Source organism: Homo sapiens, chromosome 5 (genome assembly GCF_000001405.40).
Source record: "Homo sapiens chromosome 5, GRCh38.p14 Primary Assembly".
Classification (NCBI taxonomy): domain Eukaryota; kingdom Metazoa; phylum Chordata; class Mammalia; order Primates; family Hominidae; genus Homo; species Homo sapiens.
The window spans coordinates 60,471,322-60,483,634 of record NC_000005.10 but is presented as its reverse complement, the minus strand read 5'-3'; the positions used below and the strand labels follow the sequence as shown (position 1 = coordinate 60,483,634).

General features: G+C 37.4%; 1 protein-coding gene across 10 annotated transcripts in view; it reads left to right on the top strand.

Moving 5' to 3' along the window:
• The window catches only part of PDE4D (phosphodiesterase 4D), a 1,553,091-nt gene that overhangs the window by 38,494 nt on the left and 1,502,284 nt on the right, over window positions 1-12,313 (top strand). The window contains exon 2 of one of the 10 annotated variants that reach the window (XM_047417294.1): window positions 8,905-9,154. The exons of the other annotated variants lie outside the window; for them this stretch is intronic. The gene's annotated coding sequence lies outside the window, so the exon portion shown is untranslated. The remainder of the gene's footprint in view (window positions 1-8,904; window positions 9,155-12,313) is intronic. 10 annotated transcript variants of the gene reach the window in all.

Below are 12,313 nucleotides of genomic sequence, written 5' to 3'. Positions count from 1 at the left end.
TAATTTAAAACTATAGTGAAATAATGTTTTTTTTTAACTTCTCAATAGGAATTTATTTATTCAGCAAAAATCAGGAGTTAGGTGCTAGAAACACAAAGATGAACAATACATGGTTTCCTCAAGGAGCTTATAACCTACTAGACATTTATTTCATGTTGGCAGAACTTTTAGGATAATTCTCAAAGAAAAAGGGTTATTATGAGGTTGCTACTTTTCTCCTCAAAATATTTTCTATGTTAATAATGAAGGAATGACCAATCTGTAGTATATGCAAAAAGTACTGGGTAGAAATATATTAATTTTCTTGGCTGGGTGTGGTGGCTCACATCTGTGGTCCCAGCTACTTGGGATGCTGAGGTGGGAGGATCACTTAAGCCTGTCAGTTCCATGCTGCAGTTGAGTCATGATTATATCACTGCATTCCAGCCTGGGCAGGCAACAGAGTGAAACTCTGTCCCCCACCCACCCCCAGAAAAGAAACATAAAAATTTTCTTATAAAATTTTACTTTTTAGAGTCTCCAGCCTTATTTAATTCAGTTACCATATTTGACAAATAAATGGTGGAACCAAGATGTTACCAGGTTTAAGTTTCATATACAGTAGAACTGTGACAGGAACCTAGAGTACCTGGAACTAGAATCCAGATCTCTGCCCTTTCAGTTTAGGATGTACTGACAATATATATTGCTACTTAAAATTGCTAAAACAAAATTTATAAGCATCTATATATTTTGCAGCTAGGACAATTATCTACAAACATGATATTTAATGGAAGATATGGTAATAACATCTGAGATATACAATTATGTTATAAAATCTAAAATCAACAAGAAAGGAATAAAGTTGTACCATTCCAGGAAATACATTTCCAGAGCTTTAGATATCCTTATTAGATTCTACATGTTAGTTTTGGTGATGTTAACTGCCATAACATATAAAATCTGAAATCTTGTTGACTTAACTGAGAAGTTTATTTCTCACTCAATCAAAGCCTAAAGTGAGTATTCTTGATGGGCAGATTCTTCTCATTCATTCAAGCAGTGTTCTTGTGACTCCACTCTTATCACCTTGTTGTCACGACCAGCTTCCTGGTGTCTGTGCTTTGGCAAAGGAGAAAACTCATAGAAGTCTGCTCACCTTCTATTGGCCAGAGCTTGGTCACATGGCCCCATATAGTGAAAGGGAAGCTGGGGCTATAGTCCTATTTGTGTCTGGGAAGAATAAAAAGTTGGTTTGGTGATTGTCTTAGTTCAGGCTGCTGTAACAAAGTATCATCAACTGGGTGTCTTATAAACAACAGAAATTTATTTTTTTTTTACAGTTCTGGAGGCTAGAATTCTGAGATTAGTGTGCCAGCCTGGTCAGGTTCTGGTGAGGGCTGTCTTTTGGGTTGCAAGTGGCTGACTTCTCCTATTATCTTCACATGGCAGAAAGAGGGTGAGCTAGCTCTCTGGCTTCTTTTTGTAAAGGCACGAACCCCATTCCTGATGGCTCCACTCTCATGACCTAATTATCTTCCAAAGATACCATCTCCAAGCACCAACACATTGGGAATTAGATCTCAGCATATGAATTTTGGGACGATATGAACATTCAGTCCACAACAATGATCCACTAAGCTATTTCTGCCATACCTTTTTTTCTTTTCTCTTTTCTTTCCTTACTGTTCTTCAGTATGTCTATGTAGAATCTATGCCTTGTAACCAATAAGGTAATGAAAAAAATTATAATATTTACCATCTGGAAGAAATTAGGAAAATGATTTTACTTTTAAATTCTTGATCCATATGTTAAAAAATTTCCAAGGCTATTAAAATATCACTGAACATTGTGATTATAGAGATTGCTATGATTTAATACTTATGTCTTATAGTGAAAAAGTAGTCCTGGGATATTTTTCTCTCTTTACCTCACCCATCCTCTTCTATGTCAGGTATTTGAATCCCTTGCTTTGTAGTTTTATAAAAAGGTGGGGAGAAAATGAACAATTGTCAAGGAAGATGAAATGGCTAATCAAAATTCATTCATTCTCCATAGTTCCTTGGGTATTTTATAAACTTTGCAGTAAATGCTAACTTCTTATTGGGGAAAACTGCTATAAAGTAAGTGTACAGGTAGGTTTTGGAGAAATTTTTCTTGCATGGAGTTGAGCAAATGGTGCATCTAACATAAGCTTGGTTTATAGTTTCTGTTTTTCAGAAGCTAGAAGATTTTTCTCCACTCTGAACTTCTAGGGATCAACAAAAGTATTTATATCACAAATAAAAAAAAACACAGTTACCTCTCAGTAAACAATTTTTTTTCAGATTATTCTATTTAAAAAATCTCTCCAAATCTGTTAATTTTCTGTTAATAAAACATCAGTTTCAATAAAAGTCATAAGCCTGTCAAACCAATTTTAGTCCTTTATCTTGGATATAGTAGGTTAAAATATTTTTGTTGGGTGTTAAGCCAATAATAAACTCAGCTATTTTAACAACCAAATTATTTTCCTCCTATAAACCAAATTTACAATCAAGCTACTTAAGAAATAAAGACAACAAATAGAAACTGTTTTAATCTTCATATCCTGACCTAAAAAATAGAAGCACGAACTCATGTCACATTCTCATATTTATCTGATTAGACTAGGAATGCCTAAAAAGAATTTTCCCATAACTCCATTTACTTGTTGTTTATTTCCCTAGCTCATTCCAAAAGCAATTTAAAATACAACACCAAAAGAGTAAAATATCCTCAATCTGACATCCTAGCAATCTTTTTATTTTGGTGAAACTGAACAATAATAATAGGCACTTGCATTCTTCACCCTGAGGCACTGAAAACACTGATATGTCTCAGTTTTAAGATTCTGAAGATTATATTCTATTTAATAGATATTTTAAGTATATGTATTATATTTCTAGTCTTTGAACTAAGGCAGTCCACATATAGGTATAAAGTAATGCCTCAGCATAGTGTAGCAATTATTGGTGCAAAAGGTTGGTGCAAAAGTAATTGTGGTTTTTGTCATGAAAATGGCAAGAACTGCAATTACTTTTGCATCAACCCATAACTCTGTGGTCTCTGGAGCCAGACTGCCTGGGTTCAGATCCCAGCTCTGCCACTTAGTACCTGAGTTACTCTGGACAAACTAATTAATCTTCATGTACCTCCATTTAATTATCTGGAAAATGGGATAACAATAGTACCTATCTGGTTGGGTTGTTGTAGAGATTAAGTAAATTAATATACGTAAAATGCTTTACATTTTACGTATATTAATTTCAAAATTGCTTCGAATGATGCATATCTCATAGTGCTTTATAAATGTTTGTCATCTTATTATTATTTGGGGAACTGATTATTTCACAAAATATATTTTCTAGATAGCTGAAGTTTATTCAGTCAGTTTCAAAACTTCTAGATATAGCCAGTTTTCATGGGTCTTTACAAAAGGATCCCTGTATCTTTGTTTCTTCTGTTTTAGAGAGATTAAATGGAATCTTCCTTTGGTGATACTGATTGAGGTGATACTGAGATAATTAAGAGGACATGAAGGGATTTAGGAAGAGTGTTTGCCCCTGCACTAACTGGCCCAGACTGCTCTACTGCATCAGCCCTCTGGCGATGTTCTAAGGGTTTGGACTTCAGTCTACTGCCTATACTAGTACCCTTGCTTTAAAATTCCTGCTCCTATTTTGCTATAGGCTGTAAGCAAGAAAATAGCCTAGTTTCTAAAACCTATGTATAAAATGAGAGAATAGGTGTCACTCAGGGTGTCAGTTCTCCCCTGAGAGTAAATAAGACGTGACTGCATTTTTTCCTTCTGGGTGAGGGTTATGTTTTAGAGCAAGGGTTGGCAAACTACTACTTCCTGTAGGCCAAATCTGTTTTTTGTAAATAAAGTTTTATTGTAACACAGCCATGCTCATTTGTTTATATGTCATCTACTGCTGCTTTCACACACTGTAAGGGCAGAATTGAGTGGTTCCCGCAGAGACCATATGGTCTGTATAGCCTAAAGTATTTAATATCTGACCTTTTACAAAAGAGTTTACCAAACTCTGTTCTAGAGCTTTAAAATTGGACAGAGACAGAAATAAATGAGATGTTACTACATTTAGTAGTCTCCACTAACCTGCCTATTCAATTATTTGCAGCACCACATCCCTTAAATGTATTTTGGAGAAACAAGAATTTATTGCAGTAGGCTATGTTGGATAAAGAACAAACAGCCCTCAGTAGCACATTGTGAATATTAAGAGGTGGTGAAGCTGTGATTGTCAAGCCAAGTTGTTTGGGAATCTTCATTTTAGTATTTGTTGCTCTAGTGTGATCAGTACATAACATGATGCAAAATTATATAGCTTTCTGTTGTGTGCTGTAGAATGTTGTTCTAGAGATACTACCAGTTGGTAGCTCCTTTTTTCATGCAATTATTCAAAGTAAATGTAAATATGTCTGTTGTCCTTTTCTTTTACATGAAAACTTCCCCCCTCCCCAACGCTGTAAGATTCAGAAGCATAGTGTACAGAAAAGGATCTTGAACTTGGGTTTGAATCCTGACTTAGTCACTTTATAAAGGAGAAACATCAAGTTACATTGCCACCGCCAGCCTCAGTTTCCTTGCCTGTAAAACAGAGGTGGGAATCCAGGCTATGCTTGCCACAAAAGGAGGACCAAATGAGACTCAGCATACTAGAAGGCTCTACAGCGCATATTATTACCTGTGTCTTTAATAATGTTCTCGATTTGGTTCACTTTCTCCTCATACAAAGATGTGTATGTTTATGGAAAAGAATATACAATGGATTCTGAGTGAACTAAAATTGTCAACTGCACTGGGTATGAGTCTGCAAGCATGAAGGAGGCTGGGTGAGAAAGCCTCTTCAAACAGCATATGTATTCCTCTGGTGTCTGCTTTATTATTCACTTCTCTAATGTGAAAGTTTATGCTTTAGTGCAGAGCTCCTGGGAAATATGCAAAGAAAAAAGAAAAGATAACCTTGGAGGGGAAAAGAGGTAGTGCTTATGCCAATACAAAAGCATGAATAGAAGCAAATAGTTGCTGGTTTCTTTTAGCTGTAGTTCTTTAAGTGAATCTGGTATATATACAAGAAGGTAGTTAATGTTTTAAAGATGAAGGAAGGAATAGTTTCTTTTAATGAAAATAGACTCTAGTGCTACGGAAATGAGAAGTCCCCTGTGATGAGGCTAGAGGAGAATTACTGAAGGATGAAGTGAACGTACGTGGCTCCATTTTGTTTTTCTTGGAGGCCATAAAGAAAACCAGACAGCTTACTCAGTGTAAGTTATTTATACTTGTAAAAAAAATCACCCCATTTTTATAATTTAAGGGGATGCTAACGGTTCAGCTTTGGATTGCAATTACATTAAATGTATTTTCTCATAAACTTGTTTTCAAATGTTTTAAAAAGATTTAACCAGAAAATCCAGAATTCTTTTGCTGAATTTGTTTTTTAAATGCTTTAGATAAAATATTTTAGAATTATGACCTTGAATTTGAATTTAAGGGACTCCTTCAACCTCCTCTTTTAATCTCCTTTGTTATTTGGAGGGAATTATCCAAGTTGTATCAGTTAGCTATTGTTGTGTAACAAACAGTTCCAAAACATAGTTTTGGATTAAATGGATAAATGATTAAAAGGATAATCATGGAAGATTTTCATGAGTCTACCAGTTGGCTGGGGAGTTCTGGTTATCTAAGCAGATTCTGATTATTTTAGCAAGCCTTACTCATGCATTAGGAGTTAGCTGGCAAGCCAAGATGACCTTCCTTGGTAAAGTCAATGCTCCTTCCCATGTCTCTCATATCCCTCCAACAGGCTAGCTCAGGGATGTTTTCACAGTGGTGTCTGGGGTCGAAGCATGGGCAAGTCCAGTTGTGTAAAATGGTAGTTGGCAACACACATGCACTTTTCAAGTCTCTTTGTGTGTCACATTTGCTAACACCCCACTGGCCAAAGCAGTTTGTGGTGGAACTCCGAGTCCGAGTGGAGGATTGTAAAGTTATGAGTCAAAGTGTGCATACATAGGAAGGCCATGAGTTGGGCCATTAATACACTCAGTCTACCAGAAGTCATTTCACCTTTTTTCCTCCATCTTAACAGCCTCCCTTTTGGAAATTTAACTTTTACATACTGTGTAAAATCAAACCAAACAAACAGAAAAATCTCAACTTACCTGGTTACTTTTCAGCACTGTTTTTAAAGCTTGGTCAGGGAGTAAGTTGTTATTACAGGCTAAAATTAAAATTTTGCTTATTTACTTACACACTTCTCCCCTAACTCCTCCTTTTTAAAGCAAATTGAGTTTAAGCCACAAACTGTTGAATAATGAAGTTGGTTCTTTTTCAGTTTTATTCATATCTATCCCTGAGCTCTATTCTGCCTCTAATCAATTTCTGTATTTTGGAGCCGCTATTACTATAGCATTTGCTGGGTGAGTCCGTGGGGTTTTGATCATGCTTTCATATGTTCTTGCTGTTTGATTTCCTCTCTCCTTAACTCCAGGTTTGCATTTCTTCCTGCCTATTCTACATGTCATAGAGGAACTTCAAACTGGACGTATTTTAAAGAATACTGGTTATCCACTTTGCCCAGTCACACATACCTTCAACCAACAAATATATATTTGTTGAGTGACTTCCATACTATTTCAGGCATTAGTAATATACTAGTGTAAAAGTAGACAAAATGGAGGCCATCCTAGAGTTTATAATCTAATGGGGATTGACAGACATTAAACAAATGTGTGAATACATAATTTAATGCTTGGCCGTGATAAGGGTTATTGAGAAAATAAAGCAAGGTGAGCAGAAAGGGAATGATGGCGGAGGTGCTTTTTTTGATTAGTGTTGAGGGAAGGCTTCTGAAGTGAGGGAGTGAGCCATGACAATCTGGGCAAAGTGTGCTGCACGCAGGGGCATTAGTGGATGCAAGGCTGTCTGAATGACGTTTGGTGCTGCAGCAGCTGTACTTCCAATGGAAAGAAGGGTAGGAAATGAGGTGGGGGAGACAACAAGGGACCAGATCACGCAAGGCCTTTGTAGACAACAGTAAGCTCGTTACATTCTTTCTAAGTGCCATGGCAATCCATTGGTGGATTTGGGGCAGGGGAGAGACATGGTCTGATTCTGGCTGCTGCGTGGGGCACAGGCTATAGGGAGCAAGGGTGGAAGTTGGGAGGCTATGACAGTCATGGCAGGGGCTGTGTTAGGAGAGTAACAGTGGAGATTGTGAGAGGATGGCAGACTGTGGAGCTCTCCAAAATGTGTTTCATTTAAAGAAGCCAAATTTAGATACTGTGATCAGTTCTGCCAAGTCGAGCCTGTGGAGAAGTATCTCCCAAAGTAGACCCAACAGACTTCCGGTGACATCTCAGTTACTTTTAGGTGCTATGTCACATGCATGAACTTTTAAATTTTAATAGTTACTGATGATTTTAATGTGGATTAGAAATATATAAAACTTGCATGTGAAAACTATGATTTTACAGTTATTACTTGGAATGAGGAAAAAGTATTGAGTGTAGTGCAGACTTGAATGCAGAAATAGCAAAAATCTCTAGGGTTATATCTGAATGATTGGATTTAGAACATGCTGACAGGATTATTTGTTAGATTGAGTCCTGAGGGATAGTGAAGGATAACTCTGGTAAGTATGTAATCAGATTTAGTTATTACCCCTTATTGATTATCTACTGAATGTCACTCTATGTTAGGCACCTTCTATATGACATTTCACTCAGCTTTCCCTGCAACGCTATGTGATGCGGGTGGTAATTGTCTTTTTTTTTTTTTTTTTTTCATTTAACAGATGAGAGAAGTGAAGTTCATAGAGAATAAATAGCTTGTTTTAGGAAGTCTCTGATTTTTCAGATATTACAAGATTAGCTCTGGTAAATTCTCTGCAAACAGGAACTTAGTCTGTTTTGTACACTACTGTCTCCTTAGAACATAGAAACATTTCTAGTATATAATAGACATTAATCAATACTTGCTAAATGAATGAAAGGAAAAAGAATGGTTCTTGTATTTAGATCTTACTCAAGAGTGGTATATTTTGTTTTCCTTATTATAGAATGAGGTTTAGGAAGTAATCTCTTGGAGTTTAATGGAAAGCCATTTTCGTCATAGGATGACTTCCTGTGTCCCCTAAGTGCAGGTTTCCCAATGTCCAGACCTTGGCCTTATATTTTTCTCCTTATTCTCCTTGAAGGACCTGGCTCTTCTGGCTATAACTACATGTGCAATCCCCAAATCTCAGTGTTTGATCCTAAGCTCCAGTTGTAGGATGTATAAACCCACTAACAAGCCTAGAGCCACTTTAGGGCAACATAACCTTGGCCAAGTGACTTAATTGCCCTTGAGCCTTAGTCTCTGTCAGTAGAAGGAAGAGATGGAAGAAGAAACTGAGCCTTGATTTGAACAAAACCTATGGGCACTAGAAGAAAGAAAGACAGGGTGCTTAGGGAGCATAACATTAGGGGGGAGAAGACCTAGAAAGCAAACAATTGAATTTCTATTCCTTTTGAGCACCCTTATTTTGTTTTCTATCTAGAACTTTCTAAGGAGTTAAAAAAAGACTCTTTTACATAAGTTTTTTCAAAAGGCTTAAATTTATTTTTTCTTAAAAAAAGGTAAAGTATTGAAAATAAAGCCATTCAAGCATTTAGAGTCCTGGAGAAGCTCTAACCTGCAGCTAGAGCAGCTTCACACACATCCTTTCGCTGCCAGCAGCAGCTGCACAGAGCTTGCTGGAAGGTCTGAGGCAGGGTGTGACAAACTGACCTGACTGAATGAAGGGGCTTCTGGAAAGGGGAGGAGCTCCATACAGGAACATTGTTGGGGGTAAGGTGAGCCTGTGGAGGATGTCTCTCCTCTCTGCCTTTCCTTGCAGAGCTGGGAGCTGTGGAGAGTGGAAAGTGTGTCTGAATGACTTCGCATGTTTAGTGAAGCTCATTGCCAGAACTGCGACTTCCCCTGTTGCCTTGAATCTGCTGATCAGCCCTGGCAGCACACGTTTTTTAAATTATTTAAAAAGGGACAAGGGTTATAAAGATGAAAACCACATTTTTACCAGCCTCTGCAAACTCCTAATTTGGTGGGTGAAGGACACATCAATGAAATTTCCAGTATAAGGAGTGGAGGTAAGTGCTATAGTCTGAATTTTTGTATCCCTCTCAAATTCATATGCTGAAACCTAATCACCAAAGTGGTGGTATTAAGAGGGGGTTTGGGAGGTGATTAGGTTGTGAGGGCTCTCTCTCCATGAATGAATTAGTGCCCTTATAAAGAGTCTTGAGGGAGCCTGTTTGCCCCTTCCATCATGTGAGGACACATAGAAGGTGCTGTCTATAAGGTATGAGCCCTCACCAGACATTTAATCTGCTGGTGCCTTGATTTTGAACTTCACAGCTCTCAGAACTATAAGCAATAAATTTCTGTTGTTTATAAATTGCCCAGTCTAAGGTTTTTGTTATATATATATATATATATATATATATATATATATATATATATATGGCAGCTCAAAGGGACTGAGACAGTAAGCCAGACACAGAGGTCAACACCTGCCTTGGGAAGATAAAAAAATTCCAACTGGGTGGATCTGAGTGATGACTTGGAAAGAATAGGATTCAAATTAGGCCTTGAGGCAAGGATGTGACTGATGCTTATCTTTAGGAAAAAAAGGTTGTTTTACTCTAGGTAAAGGAAGTAGCCTCTTCAAAGGCTTTGAAGCAGAATAATGCGGCGGGCGGGGGCTGGGGTGGGGTCAGGGGGCATGGTACATCAAACAGTGGGGAGGGTGTAGAGTGCATAGTGTTGGGAAGAACACCATGAAATTGGAATGACAGAGGTGAAAGCATATGGTAGTATGGTTTGCATGCCAGATGAGCTCTTTGGACTTTTTGGGTTGGCATGGGGAGCCATTGACACTTTGGTGAGAGGATCTGAGGAGTGGAGTGGCAGGGGAAGGCCATCATCAGCTCTGTGTGTGCCAGGGCAGCAAGATTTGTTAGCTTAAAAAAACTTTTTGAAATAATTTTAATTTAGAGGAAGTTGCAAGAATTGTCAAAAAGTTTTAGGATATTCTTCATCTGAATTTACCAATTGTTAACATTTTGCCACATTTACTTTATCATTCTCTTGTTCTTTAACATATACATATTATTAAGAGCACTTTTCTAAACCATTTGAAAGTAAGTTGCAGACATCATACCCCATTACCCCTATGTGGTAATATCTAATATCTGAAGTCTGATCTCCAAACTTTATTCAAATTTCACCAGTTGTCCCAAAATATAGGAGGTCTCTTTCTCCCTTTCTTTCTTCCTTCCTCCCTTGCTTCTCTGCCTCCCTTCCTTCCCTTCCTTCCTTCCTTTCCTTCCTTCCTTCTTTCCTTCTTTCTTTCTCTTTCTTTTCTTTCTTTCTTTTTTCTTTCTTTTTCCTTCCTTCCTTCCTTCCTTCCTTCCTTCCTTCCTTCCTTCCTTCCTTCCTTCCTTTCTTTCTCTCTCTCTCTTTCTTTCTTTCTTTCATCTCTCTCTCTCTGTCTCTCCCTCCCTCCTTCCTTCCTTCCTTCCTTCTGTCTGTCTGTCTTTCTTCAGATGCTCCTCAGCTTATGATAGGGTTATGTCCCAATAAACTAATCATAAGTTGAAAATGCATTTAATATGCCTAACCTATCAAATGTCATAGCTTAGCCTAGCCTACCTCGAATGTGTTCAGAGCACTTACATTAGCTTGCAGTTGGGGAAAATCACCTAATGTAAATCATGTAATAAAGTAAATTACATAAATATTTCATGTAATTTATTGAATACTGTACTGAAAGTGAAAAAAGTATCCAAAATATGGTTTCTACCAAATGTGTTTACTTTTGCAGCATCACAAAGTTGAAAAATCCTAAGTTGAACCATCCTAAGTCAGAGACCATTTGTAGCCTAGGTGACAATGAAATAGGCTTGAGTGGAAGCACTGACAGTGAGAATAAGACAGCCATTTCAGAGTTGAACACAATAAGATTTGGCAACAATGGGCTTTAGGGTAAGAGAGGGAGTAAAGCTGGTAATGAGGTTGTAGTTTACAGGATTGATGTCCTTAACCAACAAGGATCTCAGGAAAGAGAATCGAAGTGCAAGGGTGTGCTTATGTTTCAGATTTTTCATTTAATAATAATAATTAGATTTCTATAGTGCTTTCAAAGGCAGAAAGGCAGTATGATTGGAGGCAGCTTATGGCAGTGATCAAGAGTAGGAACTCCGGTGCTAGACTGTCTGGGTTGGAATCAGGCTTTGCTGCTTATTAGCTGTGTGACCTGGGAAAAATGACCTAAGTTGGCTGTGCCTCAGTTTTCTTATCTGTGAAATGGGAATTTTAACATCGTTTCCCTCACAGGATCATTGTGAAGATTAGATTAGTTATTATTTGTAAAGTGTTATTATTTATAAAGTATTATAAGCCATTCTGACATATAGTAAGCACTGTATGTGTTTGCTGAATCAATATAAATAAACTTATTTTCCCATATTACTGAATCCTCACCAGCAAATCTGTGAGGAAGGTACTATTATTATTATTGCTAATTGGGACTCAGGTGTTACATGGTTTGCCCAAAACCATATAACTATCGGTAAAAATGCTCATTCTGTTCCACCTACCAGACTATCCCCGGGCTCGCTACATGGGGATACCTAATAGGCCATAGTAATGGGCTAGTGTCTCAGCATAGGCATACTTTGGGAGTATTGTGGGTTCAGTTTCAGACCACTGCAATAAAGTGAATATTGCAATAGGGCAAGCCATGCAAACATTTTGGTTTCCCAATGTATGTAAGTTACATTTCTAGTATACTGTAGTTGATTAAGTGTGCAAATAGCATTATATCTAAAAAAAGTACATACCTTAATTTAAAAATACTGGTTGTTAAAAAATGCTAATGATCACTGAGCCTGCAGCAAGTTGTAATTTTTTTGCTGGTGGAGAGTCTTGCCTTGACATTGATGGCTGCTGAATGATCAGGATGGTGGTTTCTGAATGTTGGGGTGGTTGTGACAATTGCATGAAATAAGACAACAATGAAATTTGCTACATCAATCGACTCTTCCTTTCATGAAATATTTTTATGTAACATGCAGTGCTGTTTGATAGCATTTTATTCACAGAACTTTTCAAAATTGCTGTCAGTCCTCTCAAACCCAGTTGCTGCTTTTTATCAACTAAGTTAATGTAATATTCTAAATCCTTAGTTGTTACTTCCACAATGTTCACAGCATCTTCACCAGGAGTAGATTCCATCTCAGGAAACC